This window comes from Homo sapiens, chromosome 7, assembly GCF_000001405.40.
Source record: "Homo sapiens chromosome 7, GRCh38.p14 Primary Assembly".
NCBI classification, from domain to species: domain Eukaryota; kingdom Metazoa; phylum Chordata; class Mammalia; order Primates; family Hominidae; genus Homo; species Homo sapiens.
Genome location: NC_000007.14, coordinates 28,299,116 through 28,317,248, shown reverse-complemented (window position 1 = coordinate 28,317,248; position 18,133 = coordinate 28,299,116). Strand labels below are relative to the sequence as shown.

Genomic DNA, 18,133 nt, shown 5'->3' with positions numbered 1-18,133 from the left:
TACACTTTCCTGGGGTAATCTGAACCCTCCTTTTCTGTGTGAGATGTCAGTTTACACCATGCAACAGGGAGAAACTGAAACTGAACCAGAAATATGGGCAGCAGAATGCAAAAAATCATCAGATAAATACTGCCAGGGAGGAGATGGGATGGGTCTCCTTTTGTATTTCTGCCAAGTACCTATGTGGGCGTCAGTTCTATAAGTATCAAGTATGCCAGCCAGAGAAGACAACCATTAAATCAAGACTTACCTTCAGAATGAAAATCTTACATTTTATGGTAGGCGAAGTCATATTTATTGTTGACCCAACAGTGTATCTGCTCTTTCAACAATCTTCAAGACAAGTATTATCATCCCCCTTTTAAAGGTTAGGATATGGAGGCTTGGAGAAGCCACAGGAACCCAGCTGCCATGTACCATATACATTCTGCACTGTGAATCAGTGAGGAGATTTTGAAAGTATTCTGAAATGTAACCACAGTTAGAGCTGTTGACTCAATCATGCTGTACTAAGCAGTAGAATTTTCAGCTAGAAAATAGGATGTAACTCTGCCAGTTATACACTAAGAAAAATGAAATGCCCTAGTTGAGTAAATCTCTGAAACCACACACTGGGGACTTCCTGGGCCTTGTTGCTCAGGCTTTTGGCAGGAGCGATACGAGATGCCCAATGGATGGCAGACACTGCCAGGATCTGGCGGTGCATTTCTGCAGCATTCACTGACTCCTAACAAAGACAATATTTAGTTCCCAAGCTCCCTATCCTGATTGATTTGTCTCTTTCTTTTTTTCCTCTCTCCTTTTTGCTCCCAATTTAAATTATAAACTATTTATTACTGACACATCCTTTTTTTCTGGCCCAGCAGTGTCCCCGGGCCAGCTTTTTGGCTCAGGTTTTCCCAGGCATTGTCAGGCATTTCCCTGGCTCCAATGACTCCAATGTTTGTCTGCAAGTGCTCCAGGCAGATGTCTGAAAATCACCCACTGACAGATTTACGTTCATCAACCTCTGCAACACCCTCCACCCCCAGCCCAAACCATATCATACTTGTGGGTGAAAGCACTTGAAGGCCAAGTTCACCAAGTCCTCTCAAGCACATGCAAAACTAAGCCACAGAATCGCAATGGCATCCCACCCGCCTCCTCGGCAATGCACATTTCCCCGGCCTGTTTTCTACTCAAGATCTGGAACAACTTGGGTCTCCAGGTTTTTGAAACAAGATTAAAAGGTCTCTTTTACAGCACTTGCCGAAAAACTCCCCGGAGGAAATGTGGTTGGCAGGTAAAAAAAACCAGGACCTGTCTCCTTGAAAATCACAGCTGTGTTATCTTTTTCCTCCACTGATCACTTCCAGATTATCACCAGGGCAGCCAGCCAGTGAGCCAGTCCTCCGTGTCCCAGAGCCCGACTCTGGCAATAGCTCATTTCCCCACAGAAGGGAACACATTGGAAGATATATAGCTGGGTGATGTGCAGAGCCCAGGGAGGAAGAACTTGTTAATGAGTGTGACTTTGCCACCGAGGCAAGTCCACACAGGAAGGTGAATTAAGAGCTGGTGCAGCAGGACGTTTTCCAACGCGTCGGGACGAGGTCAAACACAAAAGAACCCTTTCTGGGAGGAAAGAAGATTGAAACTGTAGGGAAAAACAAAATGAAAACACACCCCATGTGAACCTCACAATGATGAAATCTGTTGTTGGAGAACAGAGTCCTTCATTCAGTGTCTCCTGTCTGCTTTTGCAGAACAAGTTTTCTGCAGCACCCGGCTGGAAGCGTCTTCTTGTCCAGAGTTCTCTGGCACCTGCCCATTGCTCAGGTCCAACCAAGAGAAGCGGCTAACAGAAGGCAACCTCAGCTTCGGACAACTGCTGCAAACAGAGTCATCATAGTGACTTTTTCCGAAAAAATAAAATTGTCAAATCAGGACCCTGGCTGGTCAGAAGTCTGTTTTTAACAAAATTCATTAAACTGGCAACATAGTAGGAATGCCAGCTTATGTGGGAAGGATTTGTGCTGTAGTCCCTGTTGGTGGTGACAATACAAATGAATTGTGCCCACAGGAAGTCGTTGCCTTGGCAAGAATCATCAGGAAATTGACATATACATTGAGCCATTTATTCACCCAGCGTCTGTTCCATACCTTGTATAGGCTGGGACCACACTAAACACCAAGGATAAGATAAGATACCCTTATCTCCTACTGACTTCAAGGGCTTGGATTAGCAGCTCCCAAACAGTGCTTTGAGGCATACCAGTCTTGAGGCAGGAAAATATGTTCCTGTCACTGGAATATGGTTAGAAAAATGCTACATTAAACAAAGTTGAACAGTTTTCTCTACTGTTAGGCTTTCTACAGCCTTCAACACGCTGATGTGCCCATTGGCAGCAGTTGCCAAATTTACTGACCGTACAGCACTTTTCTACAACATACTTCTGAAGGTCAAATTGCACACCGGTGATCCAGTTGGGGAAGAACTGTCTCAGTAAAGCGTCTCAGTAAAGAGACACTGGGGACCTGGAGCAAGATTCCCCTTCAGGAAGTGCCCTTCTGGTTTTCTTTCCCTTGGGGTAGTGTGTCGCTGCTCACTAAGCCTTACCCCAAAGTATATGAACTATGATACTGGCATGTCTTGGTCATCAGACACTGTGCTGTGTGTGTTGTCTGTATCTTCACATTATATATCACAATAATCTGTGTGGCAGATGTTACTCTCCTGGTTTTGACCAGACAATGAAAATGAAGCTCAGAGATACTGAAGAACACAAAGCCATCGTGCTTTCAAGCTCCATAGGACTAAGATTCATGCCCTATAATCAGCAGCAAGAAATCAACCATTTTAACTTGGAGCAAGTGATGAAGATGGATGATAAAGACAGCACCATCTCCAAGGAAAAAGTAATGAATGTTCTAATACTTGAATTTCCAGCCTTTGAATGTAGGAGGGCACTGTCATCTCATCTTGAAGTGTTTTCCTAAAACATGTCTGGTTTAACAGGACTGTTGTGCTTTTAATCATTAATTAAGCTTTTTCACCAAACCTGCACAAAACAATCTCCATGATCTTTCTTCACATAGCTACAAGAAACATCAGGATCGCTGCACTTCAAAGGCAGTGAATACCTGCTTTTTCCTTGGAAACATAGATATGTTTCCTTAAAAATGAGACCCTGGCCAAAGCTCCACTAGAAAAATCAGCCCTTAATAATTCTCTTATTCTTTTCTGAAACATTCTGCAAACTTTTATGGGGGTTGCTTTGGCATGGCCAATATTTTTTCAGTGGTGTCAATGTTTTATGCTTACCTATTTCTATTAAAATTATATATTTTTGCAGCTCCCAATAAAACTCATTGTATGGTATGCTAGAATAAATCTCAAAATCTCCCTGAAGTGCTAGAAACTTTCAGATATATGTCTATTAAATTTTTATTTCTTCAGCAAGTGGCGTGTGTGCCAAAATATGCATTTCGTTGCTGAAATGGTCACAAGTCCACAAAGCTGTGTTAAAACCGTGAAGGGGTATTGAGTTGTCCATCACTAGAAATCTACATCCATTGAGTGAGGAGTGGTTTTTCAGTGGTTATTCCCACCTTCCACAGAAATCCCTGAACTGGTTGTTCACCTGTACATCTCCCATCCCCGAAACACACTGGGCACTCAAAATACATTTGCTCAATTGAAGTTGTTTTCCCAGGAATAGATCAGATTCTTTCCTCCTTAGAATGGCTTGAGGTTTTTGCCATAGTATCAGACTGCCAATACAGTCAGGTTGTCTTTTATCCTTAGGACAGTGAATCACAGACCAAAAGTAATAAAAATACTTTCTGTTAAAACTATGATGAATAAAATTTAACTCTACTGTCAAAAGGGCAAGACAAACAGCCTATAGGTAAAAGGGATAGGAAAACAGGTTTCAGGTTCATATGAGAAGGAACTTTCCATCAGATTAAGTGTGTTCGTGCTTCAGGCTCTCGGAAGATGGCATGAGCAGGCTCATGAAGCAGGAAGTTCTCTGACACTAGAGGTATTCAAGCACCATCTAGATCAGTGGTTCTCAAACAGTGGTGCCCAGACGAGCAGTATCAATAACAGCTGCGTACATACTAGAAATGAAATTTCTCAAGACCCGTCCCAGACCTACTAATTCAGAAACTCTGGGATTGAGGTTCAGCACTCTCAGTTTTAGTAACTCCAATGTCTGCTGGAGCTTGAGAAACACCGACCTAAACTACCACTGGTCAAGAATACTGCAGGGAGCATTCAACCATCAGATAGGAGATTGAACTGGATGGCCATTCAATTCTGTAATTTCACAAGTCTCATAAGGTTCTTTGGTCTGCATTATTTTCTTTTTGGAATGAGAAACTGATGCTCTACCAACACTCAGGCTTGACCACTGGCAACACTATGAGTTATGGAAAGAGAACTGGAATACATTACTGCAATTGTTATAAACTCTGACATTAGAATGGCCCGAGGAGCTTTAAAATAAAACAAAATACCAATACCTGGGACTAATTTCTGGAGATGACACCTGGACCTACCTTTACCAGGCACTTTCACGTTAATTATCTCATTTAGTCTCCATAACAACCTTATGAGATGGGTATTATTACCATCCCCATGTTTACAGATGAAAAAGCCTCAAAATGGTTGAGTGACTTGTCCAAGTTCACAGAGCCAGTAAATGCCAGACTCAGCACCCACGTTCCTTCGCCTCCACCCGCTTCCCTCCCCCTTTGTACACCAGAGACTTTCTGCATGTCCATGGTCTCCCAAGCCACCTCTGGCTGCACCGGTCTTGTCACTGAGCCCCCTCAGCTCCTGCCAGCATTCCTTGCAGCTCCACCACTCTGTGCCTCCCCCTCTGTGAAATCCGAGTAGGTATCATGGGTATTTCATTCTCTCGCAAATATGCTTTCATTGGCTGCCCTCAAAACTCACCATCCATGAGCAGAAAAAGAGGCTGCCTTTGGGTTGTGATATGAGGGCCACCAGGAAGACCCTTGTAAGCCAACTAGGCACTGCTAGCTAAAATTCCACTTTTTTTTTTTTTATCAATTAGCTAAGTATTTCCTTTCACTAAAATGAAATGAAATTAAAATGACCCCAAAGGAAGAGCACATCAAGTTGATAACAGCTAATTACATCTTAGGGTGTGAATTCACTTAATTAGATCATTTCCAACTCAAAAAAACGGTCTTTACATGAGGTAGAAGAACAAAAGGGTGCAGAACACAGGAGGACTGGCTCTGCAGGACGTGGAAGAAAGGAAGGAGAAGTCAGGGTCCTAACAGCCCAAACCTCTGAGAAGTACAAAGGGCCTATGGGAGGAGCCACACCAGCGCAGGGAGACCGACACTGGGGAGGGAGGAGTGCAGACGGCAGAGACAGTGCCTGCCACGTGACGCTTTTGCTGCGGAGAAGGTTCTGGTCAGCAACTCCATGCACTGGTTAGTTTAGTCAGGGTCTTCAATGACAAGCCACGGAAGTCCAGAGAGGTGCCGTACCTTGCCCAGGAGTACACCGGCCAGGCATGGCAGAGCCAGGACCAGCGCCCAGGGCTCCTGACTCCCTGTTTTCTAAAGGAATGTGTCTTAACACAGTATTAAATCAGAGTCTGTGGCAAACTGGTCAAAATTAAAGAAAGAGACTAAGAACATCAGTGGCTACACTAATTTCCTGGGGTAGAATATAAAGTACATTGTGTAGGACCGAAAAACGTTTTAAATGTGTAAAAGGAGGACAGCTCCAAAGGTCTGTTTCTGATCAATGTTCCACGGGAAGAGGGAAGAGAGGACAGTGGGGGATATGTTTTCAAAGCACTGCCCAGGGTTTTAACTGCTCAGTTCCCATTGGTTTTAATGATGCAGAAACAGCTAAAGTTCAGCACAGTTCTTTGAAAATAGGTCCTAAGGGCTCAAGAGTCCATGAAAAAGGAACTGAGAGATAGAAAGAGTACCTGCCTCCCTTAGATGGGAAGCCAACCCAGAGGTGACTGGTCACAGTGCCGTTTATATTGCCTCCTTAAATGCAGTGTAGGCTCACTCTTACTGGTTTCACAAAACCGCTTTTGCATTAAAATATTTATTCTTTTTTTTTTTTTTTTGTATTTTTAGTAGAGACGGGGTTTCACCGTGCTAGCCAGGATAGTCTTGATCTCCTGACCCTCGTGATCCACCTGCCTCAGCCTCCCAAAGTGCTGGGATTACAGGCGTGAGCCACGGTGCCTGGCCTAAAATATTTATTCTTTAAAAGAGATTAAAGAGACATAATGACCAAATGTCCCGTGTGGACTCTAACTAGATCACAATTCAAACAAAGCAACTGTAAACAGATATTCTTGAGACAATTGGGAAAATTTGGTTATGATCTGCATATTGGATGATACAAAGCTCTGTTCATCGAGTGTAATAATGATTTTGTAATTCTTCTTTTTAATGTCTGCATAATTCAGAACACTGAAGCACGTAGAGGTAAAAATGACATGAAGTCAGTCTTTTAAAATAATTCAACCGAAAAGAGGGAGACAGGACTGAATAGATGAAGCAAATAAAGCAAGATCTTAACAATTAGGTAAACATACTTTCGTATATGTTTGAAATTGCGTAATTTAAAAATCCTTAGACAAATATATAGAGAAATGTATCACCCTGCACTTGCAATTACTCCAAAGAGCAAAATTGATGTGAAACGCTAAAAATTTCATAGTTGAAAAGAATGTTAGACTTTGTCCAGTCCACTCCACCCATCTCTGTCTTCCAGATGAGGGATTTCAGACCCCCAAAGCTCTTCCAACTATTTAATAGTCCAGCCAGGACTAGAATCTGGTTCTCCAGGCTTTCTGTCCAGAGCTCCTACACCAAACACCAACAGACAAGCATAAGAATGTTGCTTTCTAATCTTTGTGCTATAAACTCTCAGACAAGGTACTATTACTATTTTACAGAAGCAGGTCTGGTCAAAGGCCAAATGAACACTTCCTTTGCTCATTCTGAGTAAAAGTTTGCATGAAATAACTCTCCCTATTCTCTGCAGCCTCACCCCCCACTACTCCCTTCCACTCCTTTCTCCATCCGCAAGGACACCCCATCCTCTGGGCTCCTTGCATTCTTTGCTGCTTTTGACCTCATACTGCACTTTGGGCGTCTGTGTCCACCCTCCAATGTCTAGCTCCTCCTGCTGAAATGTTGCTTAGCTCCAAAGCCCAGGACAATGCAGCTACTCCATGAACCCTTTCATCCCTCCTCCAGTAGAAAGTGTTCCCGCCCTTCTCTGGACCCCCCACTTAGCCCTTGTTTTGAGCCTCACTAATGTCCTTATCTCCTTCCTTGTTAATGGTTAAGCACATGTATGACCTGCCCTTTCAATGATCTCATGTCAGGTGTGCTGAGATGCAGTGGCAGAAATCAGAGAAGGAGGAAGCCAGAAGCAGAGAGGCAACGTAGGGCCAGGAGCTATGATGTGGCTTGTCCTGGAAATAGCAAGGGAGGGATAGAGGTTTGGACCAAAATCCAAACATCATTTCTAAAGGATATGAAGAAAACCTGAACTTTTCCTAGCTGGGAGCATCAGTATCAAAAAGGAGCCAGCCTGAGGGGTTAGGGCTGGTAGGTGGGCTCTCCTGGCATTGGCAAAATCAACTCAGGCAGCTCAGCAATGAGGGCAGGGCAACACCAGCCTGGCTCTCAACACCAGCTGGGAAGCTGGTGAGGGTTAAGCAGGATGTCATCCAGGAGGCCTGGGTCCAGGGAAGCCTCTATCCCTGGAAAGGAAATACAGAGGAAAGTGGACACAAATCAGAAGCATGTGCCAGAAAGCCAGGCAAATCCACTGGCCATGGTTATGGCATCAAGAGAAAAGAGGGGCCTGAGACAAAGGCTCTGTGAGCGGGTGTTCTAGGTGCGTTAATTTCACCTGTATTTATTAAGCACATACTCTAAGCCAAATGCCAGGGATACAGGGGTGTATTAGTCAGGGCTCTCCAGAAGAACAGACCAATAGCTTGTGTGCATTGAGAGAAAGAGATTTATTATAAAAAATAAATAAATGTCTCACATGATAATGGAGGCTGGCAAGTCCAAAATCTGCAGGGTGGACTGGCAGACTAGAGACCCAGGAGAGCCGATGCTACAGTTCCAGCCATAAGGCAAAATGGGCAGTCTGGAGACCCAGGAGAGCTAATATTCCGGTTTGAGTCCAAAGACAGTCTGCTGTAGAATTCTCTTTTGCTGGGGGGATAGTTGGTCTTTTTGTTCTACTCAGCTGATTGGTTGAGGCCCACCTACATTATGGAAGTCTCAAAATCCACCCACTTAAATGTTAATCTCATCCAAAAACACCCTCACAGAAATATCCAGAATCATGTTTGATCAAATATTTGGGCATCCCATGGCCCAGCCAAATGGACATATAAAATTAACCATCAGGGACAAACAGAAAAGATCTCAACTCATTGCCGAAACCGGAAGTCTAAAAGGTCTTATACCTGGATGAAGACCTAGGTCATTATATGATTCCTGCAATGGGCAAGAAAGGATGAGACCAGGAGTTTGTAGGGGTGGCTGTGAAGGGGTTGTGCCGGGGGACTGGCATAAGACAGGCAGCTTTTTAAGCTATTGGAGGGAAGGGAGCAAGGGAGCAAGCCATTCACCACCAGCACACAATACCGGAACCAGGCAGCCTGGGTTTGAGTCCAGGTCTACCACTTGCTAACTTGAATAAGTTACTTCACCTTTTTGCATCTCAGTTTTCTCCTCTGCAAAATGAGGCTACTAGTAATACCTAAATCAAATATATCTAAATTCAACAAGTTAAGTAATTGTAAAGCACAAATAATATTTGTAAAGCCTGGTACATGTAAGTGCTGTGGAACTGTTTGCTAGTATTAGTCGAAAGCACTAGAGCGGCTTACATATTGTGCTCTAAGCACTCGGGAAATTTTGAACTGAAATTTTTCTTCAAATAATACAAAATGAAAAGGGACTAAGCCATATAAAGACTGTCTTATATTTCAGTCCCATTTTTTTAAAGGCAATTTTATTTAAGTTGCTTAATTAAAATTCTTCCAAGGTTTCCTGTTGCCTTAGGAAACGGACTCATGTTCTTATCAGGGCCCCTAAGGCTGCCTGATTTGCTCTGGATGTGTCTCTGCATTGACTCACTTCTTACCTCTCTCATCCAGGATGCCCAGGCACCAGGGATGCCAGGTTTCTCCATGTTCCCTGAATTATCTTCAGGGCCTCTGCAGTGCTGTCACCTATGCCTGGAGCAGCCCTCCTTGGGCGCTGCCCTGCTTATCTACCAGCTCCCATGCATCATTAGGGGCTCCGTTTAAGGAAAAGTCTCCCCAAGGTGTGCTTCTGTAGCCCCTGCTCTTCTTCACATCAATCATTCAAAGCCTTGGAATTAGATGTGCAATCATTATCTGTCTTCCTCCTCACCCAGCTCCCTAAGACTAGGGATCAAGTTTGTATCATTCACAGTTGAACCTCTGGGACCCAGCACAGTGCCAGGCACATTGTGCTCAGCAAATACATGTTTGCAAGAATTTAATAAATCTAGAGATGACAGGTTTCAGCTCTCAGCTAAGTCCAACTAATTTCCAGTGGCATTTTAGAAGCCAGGTTGAGAAGGATTCTGGAGCTTTGCCAGATGGCAACTGTCTAAGCCCATTTGTGCTGCTATAGTAAAACACCTTAGACTGGGTAATTTATAAAGAACAGAAATTTATTTCTTATAGTTCTGGAGGCTGGGAAGTCCAAGATCAAGGCATTAGCAAGTTCAGTACCTGGTGAGGGGCCCAGTCTCCCCTTTTGTGACAACACCTTGTTGCTGTGTCCTCTGGAAGGGATGAACACTGGGTCCTCACATGCTGGGAGGGATGGAAAGGCAAACTTGCCCCCTCAAACCCCTTTATTAGACACTAATCCATTCATGAGGCTAGAGCCTTCATGGTCTAATCAGATCCTGAAAGCCCCACTTCTTAGTAGTACCACCAGGGGTATTAAGATTCAGCTTGAATTTTGGAGGGAATGTATTCAAACCACAGAGCTGGCTGAGTGTGAAAGCATCCTATCACAAGCAACATCTGCCATGGCCAAGGGACATTAGAGGAGGGGCAAGGGCATCTGACATCCATCTCTTTATCGGCTGAGAGTGAACATTTCATGAAACACTGTTAGGTTTCATAGCAGCCAATAAAGTTTAAAGAAAAAGTATGAGGGTAACTCTTATCTGAACAGGTAAAAACTGCTGGAGCAATAACTGTACTGCAAAAGCAAGTAAACCAAAATGTTGTCATCTATTAGATTCCTACTCCAATCATCATTCTCACATTTCATATGTATTCATGAATACCTTTTTATATCTATAAAACTGTATCTGTGGCCGGGCGCGGTGGCTCACGCCTGTAATCCCAGCACTTTGGGAGGCCGAGGCGGGCGGATCACGAGGTCAGGAGATCGAGACCATCCCGGCTAACACGGTGAAACCCCGTCTCTACTAAAAAATACAAAAAATTAGCCGGGCATAGTGGCGGGCGCCTGTAGTCCCAGCTACTCGGGAGGCTGAGGCAGGAGAATGGCGTGAACCCGGGAGGCGGAGCTTGCAGTGAGCCGAGATCCCGCCACTGCACTCCAGCCTGGGCGACAGAGCGAGACTCCGTCTCAAAAAAAAAAAAAAAAAAAAAAACAAAAAAAACAAAACTGTATCTGTATGTACTGGCACCAGTTTTCTTCATCGCCCATTTAAAATCTTGTGCCATGATGAGCAAAAAATATTTTTGATTTGGGAGTCTACCCTGGCAGACATCAACCCAATTAGGAATGGGCTATAGTTTCAGAGGGAAGCTGGAGTGGTGGAATAAAAAAATGGCAGAGGTCAGAGTCAGATATTTCAGAGTTTTGTGATGGTTCACAAGCTATTATCCCTTCTAAGCCTCAGTGTCCTCCTTTGTAAAACGAAGGTGTAGAAAAGAGTAACACAGCAGGCACATAAAGAGCTCTCCGTAAACAATAAATATTACAACTAGTATTAGTTTCACACTCTGTGGGTTTCTGCCTACCCTAGGCATGAACAGCAAGTGTTACAATTATGGACGCTTTGGCTGGTTGCAGCTAGAGCACAGGAAAGAGTCTGGCTTTCTCAAACAGGTGGCACAAAGATACCATCCAGGAATAACTGTAGCATTGGTTGTAATAATGAAAAACTGAAAATAACCTACATTGCTATCAATAGCTTATCACTTTTGCAAAAAAAAAACTAATTAAAATCTGTACACGTGTCCATACACATATGTGTAAATGCACACACACACACACGCACACACTATTTTTGGTGTATAGACAAATATCTGGATGGGTTCATGCATAATGTTAGTTGTTACATCTGGGCAAACTTTATATACTTCTGTATTGTTTGAATTAGCTCACAAGGAGAATATGTTACTGGAATCAATCAAAAGTAAATAATTGAATGAATGAAATCATCAATTAAAATGAAATAATGAAGTTTAAAAAAAAAAAAAAAGAAAAGAAAAACAAGAAGACAGATGATATTCACCATGAAGGCTAATGCTGAGTGATCCAGGAAAGGATGAGAATGTGTGGCTACTGGGAGCTCTGAATAGCAGAGTCCCCATTAATTCAATGGACTCACTTCAGGAGGTCTTCTTAGTCTCACTCTTCACTGTGAGACCAAGAATGCCCAAAGGGAATGCAGTAGCTTTGGGGTAAGTGTCCATTTCTCCACAGCACTGGGGCAGCTCTACTGAGCTACAGAGCTAGAATTCCCAGGGGAAAGCTGGGTTCCCCTGACGTCCACACTGATGTCGAAGGAAACAGTGGGTTGGCCTCCAGGCATGTCCAGTAGTGGACTGTAGGTTTTCCTGGGATGTTCTCTGAGAGATTCAGAGAAGAAGAAAGAAAGAAGGAAAGAGCAAAAGGCTGGACAAGAGATACTGTAAAGACTGGAGATGAGAAAGCCAAGGTGTGGATTCAGAATTGTGTTTCAACATGAAATCAAAGGTATTGTAAAAAAAAGACAGTTCTGCCCCAGAAGAACAGGGGAGACTATGAATGTGAATTTTAAGAGAAGTGTATTTAAGAACTTCGCTGAAAGAGAGATGCTAAATATTCCTAAGTTATGTTTTAGGACAAGATTGGCAACTCATAGCTTTGTAACTTAGAACAAGAGGCTGGAGGAGCTAAACTTTTTTAAAATGTATTTTTTCCTAGTTATAAAATTTGACAAACATGTTGCAAATTTGGGAACTATGAAAGATTTCAGTGAAGAAATACTTCCCAGAGTACATATCCTGCCCGGAGATAATTACTGTGCACACTTCAGTGTATATTCTTCCAGCCTTTCATTTCTACAAATACATACTTATTTTTATAAAAATCAGAACCATACACTATTTTCTGTCCTACAGCCTGCTTTTTCCCACTTAATAGTCTATCATGGAAATGTTTCCATTCTATTTGATTTTTTACAATGTGAGTTTTAATAGCTATAGCATATTCCATGGTGTGTGTATACTGTACTATAATTTATCTACTAGTCCACAATTATTGGATATTTATGTGGCTTCTCTTTTTATGGACTTACAAAAACATTCATCTTTATGCATGCCTCTCATTGCTTTTGAGATTTCCTAGGTGAAAGAGATAGGAACAAGTTTGTGGTTCTCCATAACCATTGCCTAACTGTACTCCAGAAAAGAATCAACAAATACTCCCACCAGCAGGCTAAGAAAGTGCTTTTCCTTCCATCCTCCACCCTAATCAATGGGGTATTAGCATTTGAAAGAGGAGATGAAAAGGGAGAAAATGAAATATCTACTATAAATGGAAATTGCTTACTTGTGAAGAACATTTTTCCACATACCTGTCATTAGATGGATTTTTCACATATCCTCTTGTACTATAAGTCTATGATTGAGACAGAGCCAAATATATACATTCATTTTCTTTTCTTATAAATCTTCATTTATTTAAATAATAGTTTGGTGGATGGTTAAACCATGATATTCTTCTATGTTCTGGTCACACGCAAAAATTGCCAGGACTCTCATTTATTTTTCCCCTGAGACCAGGCTCACATCTTTAATAGAAGACTTGTAGATAAAGAAAACAGGATGAAGCCTTATGTTTATTCTTGCTATCATTAGGTACTAGAATAACACTGTTTAATTTATACATTTGAGCCACATTATAGCATTCCAAATGGAAATATTGGAATCATAAAAAAGCAACTGTTCTTTTGAGCTATTTATTATTCTCTTATTAGCAAGGTTGCCTGATTTTTATTCTAAAACTATATTTATTTTATTCCACTTTTACTGCCAATGTAAATTAAATGTGTGTTTTTCTTTGCATATATTTAAATTTTATTTTTGAACACTTGTGCAAAAAATACTATAAAATCCCATTAACATTAATCAGGTCCACATTTCTCAAATTCTTATCTGCAATAACATTAAGTTAAATATGTATGTACATGTGTATATTTTGGATTGTATCCATAAAGTTTTAGAAAGTAAGAAATTGGCCACAGGGAGGCAAAACTAGATATTTATATCAATCCTATTATTTTACTGCCTCATAGAAGGTCCAACACAATATAAAATTCCTGTTCATCTTCAGCAACCATGCAAATATTTGTGTGAAGCAACCTAATCAAAAAGCACATATGCATTTATTAGGTGTTCATGTATTTTTACATCGGCAAAGTTAGAAAACCAGAGGTAAGAGCCTCTCTACATTAAAATCCTCAAATGTTAACTAGATAAAGGCTGGCTAATTTCCCCCTCTTGATTTATTGTTATAGTATTTCTTAATGTTTTATTGCTTTTATCTTGTAAAATGAAATGTAATCATATGTTACTTTGTTTTTCTATTGGGTCTTAGTTAACTGTGCCAACATTTAAGTGAGGGCCCAAATTTTCAACTGGCCTCAAAAATTATGCCTATGAATTGGGGCAGTCCAGAACCAATCGCACTTACCCAAATAAATAAGGTTCATCGTAGTCTGCTTACTAAACATATATTGTACAAACATTTGGAATTAGATAAGCTATAACTAATTCTTTTTTTTTTTTTTTTGAGATGGAGTTTTGCTCTTGTTGCCCAGGCTGGAGTGCAATGGCACAATCTTGGCTCACCGCAACCTCTGCCTCCCAGGTTCAAGCGATTCTCCTGCCAGCACCTCCCAAGCTACAACTAATTCCAAGATTAGGACTAGCAATATAGACCTATGCTCTGAATTTTCTTAAAAATATTGGTGAGGGGTGATGGGAGAGCAACCCTATATTCCGCCATCATTCTGTGAACAGCATTGCTTTTCTTTCAAGTTTGATTTTTATAGTAATTTAATCACCATAATTGGTGGGCAAACAAGAGGTGATTTATGTAATTCTTGTGGGTCCAAAGCCAAACAGATGTGGTTTTCTGTTCTCCTAAAGTAATTTTCCACATTGGTCTTTAAAGGTGGTGTTTTAGTGGTTGTTTTCCATGCTGGAGAGAGGGCTGGCTCTCCATGGAAGGTGAAAGCGGGCGTGCACAAGCTCCTGAGCAGGACGTTCATGGCCTTGCCTGCCTCTTTTGGCCCCAGCACATCACACCCTAAATCCTCCTTTCTGGGACTTTGGAAGAGGCATGAAAACTTTTTGGCTTTCAGCTTCCCCACATACAAAATGAAGGGATTGGATTCAAAATCTAATATCTCCTCCAGCTCTAAATCCTATGAATTCATCATATTAAAATCCTGCAATTTAGATAATTATGTTCCATGTAGTTTGATTTCCAAACAGTAAACATGACAAAAACACATTAAAGTCCATTGTCAATTTCAGCTTTAACATGTGTGAATCATTTGAACTAAGGCAGATTTTTAACATGTAATATTCACTAGAGAATTGCATAAATGTTTGTTTGGAAATTAATTTGACATGGGTATGTCTTCTCAGTAGAAACCAAAAATCAGTCCAAAAAAACCCTCAAATTATTAATGAAATACTTAATGTGATGCAGCTATTTATTTGGTGCTTTAAAATTAGAGAATTAATATTTTAATGTGATATATAGGGATACTGAAATTTCACATTTTGTTATTTTTAGCTTAAATAATATACCACATTTATTATGAAAGAAATTAACTTTTCTGATGACACATAGGCCACTCAAATATTCTCTGAGTTTATCTATTTTAACGAATTTCAATTTCCAACCCAATTGCTTATTATTTTCTGAAGTAGCTTCCATTTAAAACACCCTCTCCAGATATCAAAGCTCTGACTTCACTCAGTCACTTTTCCTATTTGGCAAACCTCCAGAGAATTTGTCTCAAGGTGAAATTTTTTAAGAATAGACATCAAATCCAAAGAAATTCTTTTTAAACAATTGTTTCTGTCACATTAGTAACCCCGGGAACTCAGTCACATGAATATGCCTTGTGCATCCTCCTCCTCTGAGCTAAACAAAACAAACCTGTAAACAACAGAACAAACATTTGGAATCAGACAAGCTACAATTAATTCTAAGATTAGGACTGGCAATACAGACAACAGAAATTCATAGCCAGGCTGTGTCTTCCAGAGATGAGAATGCTTTCTCTTTTTCTAGAATATAGAGTCCCTTTAGACAATAAGGATCTTATTAAAATGCAGATCCTTATTCAGTATATCCGGGGTTGGACCTGAGTCATAATTTCTAACTCACTGCTCAAAGTTCCAGAGCTTACAACATCAGCACCTCAGAGTTTGTTAGAATTGCAGACTTTCAGACTTTCGGGCCAAGCCCAGGCCTACCTTGGCAGACTCTGCATGTATAATAACAAGATCCCCAGGTGATCTGTATGAACATTTGTGTTTGAGTAGCACTCGTCTACCTCAGTTTAGGAATTATTTCCCAATGGGTTTTGGTCAACACTAAAGTTTGCTCCCACACACACTAGTCTAGAGTGAGTGGATTCTTCCCCTCATGTACTTGAAACGCATGAAAATCCCTGCCAGACAGGTTGACCACAATCCAAGGACAGCTGAAATAACTGGTTCTCTGACGTCACACCAACCTGAACAGTTCCTAATCAAAAAGTAAGCTTGAGCAACTTTTCTGTTAGAGCGGTGGTTCTCAAATCTGTCTACATATTAGAGTCACCTTTAAAAAGAGCCTTTAAAAAGATCAAAATGTAGATCCTACTGTGAACCAATTAAATCACAGTCTCTAGAGCAGTGGTTCTTAAATTTCTAAATATCTGAATCACTGAAGGAGTTGTTAACACACAGATTGGTGGACCCCAAACCCAGTCTCTGAGTCAGGGGTCTGGACCAGGGCCTGAGAATCTGCATTTATGACAAGTTCCAAGGTTTTGTGTGTCTGTGGACCATACTTTGACAACCACTATTCAGGAGTTGGCCCTGAAGAGTAGTATTTTTAAAAAAATGCCCTTCGTGAGAGTTTAATGTGCAGCCAAGTTTGATAACCACTGTCCTACAGAAAGATGAGTCTATAAAAAAATCATATTAGTTCCCTAACTCCGTGTGAAATGTGTTTCATCACATTAAATCACACACACTAATGCTCAACCAGTTTCGGCACAGACTATCCATGGTTTCAAAACGTTTTGGCAACAGGAAATGTTCACTGGGATTTTTGTTTAAATGTGTATTTTTTTTACTGCTAGTATGAAAACTCCTCAAAAGCATGGGCTGTTTTGAATGCACCTTTGTCCCCACAGGTACTACGCACAGGGGCATGGCACATAGACATGTTCAATAACTGTAGAATTGAATCTGTTTATTGTCCACCCAACACCAGCCACCTGGAGATGGACATACGCTCTGTTGAGAAAAGGACAAAATTGCCTGAAATTTTCATTTTTCACCAAGCTGCCTTGACGGCATATAAATGTAATCAAAACTCCTGAATGTTGACACAAATATTAGACAAGCAAATTATCTTCTCACAGCCCATTCAGTCAGTGTGTAAATGTGATATTCTCAATGGGAGCCAAAACTTGAGAACTAGCACCATATGAGGAAGGTGAGAAGCCTAGTTCAAGCAATCCTTGCACGGGTAATGGAGGGTCACAGTTTGACAAGGTGAGCATCCCTCCCTGTATGAGTGAAATGAAACACCTAAGGTAGTAATAAATAAATAAATAAATAAATAAATAAATAAATAAATAAATAAATAAAGCTAAAAAGCAGTATAAATAACAAAACGGAAAACAGGATGAAAAGGGCAACACATTACACAAAAATGGATCCGGAGAAATTAGGACTGACTGAATAATTACATTTAATTATCAAAATCTTAGTGGTATAGATTGATTCTTACAATACGCAACATGTAGATTCAATTTCAAGACCATGTTGATGTCCATCAAACACATTATCCAATGTGTATATTAGTTTGCCCTGGCTCCTAAACTTTGGTAACACAACATTGCAGCATTGCAAAATATATCTATCTAACATAGGGTAAATGTTAAATAAATGTTTGTTGGGTCACATTGCACAATCAATGCTAGTGAATAACACTTCCTAAGGTTTTCAGGTAGCATGAGCAAAAAACATCCAGTATTTGTCTATTCTTTTGAGGACAATAACAAAAGAATATCAGTAGCCTTGCCTAGAGCTTTCTGCAATGAGGGAAATGTTCCATATCTGTATTGTACAATATGGTAGCTAGTAGCCACATGTTGAGCAACTGAAATGTGGCTAGTATGACTGAGGGTCTGAATTTTTAATTTATTCAATCTTAATTAATTTTAATTTAAATAGCTACACATGGCTGTTGCCTACCTTACTGGACCTCCAGAAACAGGGACGAATGCCAGAGCATAAATGCTTTAGGCAGTTTCTGTCATTCTCATAACCGTGTCCAAAATCTGCCTCTTGCTCCACTCCTTGGATTCATCAGATCAAAAATAAGACAAACTTAAAAAATACTCCAGTTAATTTCCTATAGAATAACAACACAGAGGCTTCCAATGTGAAATCCACACTCTTTGAAAGGCCACAGACTCCCTCACTTTTATAAACAGTCCCAAAGTAAAAGCAATCACAATGGCCGGCAGCTTTAGTATTTATAAATCCCAGTCCTTCGGACAGAGGGAGAGGCCCTTTTA

General features: G+C 40.9%; 1 protein-coding gene across 1 annotated transcript in view, besides 1 other annotated feature; it reads right to left on the bottom strand.

Annotated features, from left to right (window-relative positions):
• The window catches only part of CREB5 (cAMP responsive element binding protein 5), a 526,574-nt gene extending 508,646 nt beyond the window's left edge, over positions 1 to 17,928 (bottom strand). Inside the window, exon 1 of the mRNA NM_182899.5 lies at positions 17,808 to 17,928. The gene's annotated coding sequence lies outside the window, so the exon portion shown is untranslated. The remainder of the gene's footprint in view (positions 1 to 17,807) is intronic.
• Positions 5,426 to 5,926: an enhancer, noted in NCBI's record as "H3K4me1 hESC enhancer chr7:28350942-28351442 (GRCh37/hg19 assembly coordinates)". NCBI's record gives its function as "activates a minimal SCP1, AML or CMV promoter by ChIP-STARR-seq in primed H9 embryonic stem cells {active_cell/tissue: H9 hESC(primed)}" and the evidence as "EXISTENCE:reporter gene assay evidence [ECO:0000049][PMID:30033119]".
• Positions 17,929 to 18,133: the final 205 nt, after the last annotated feature.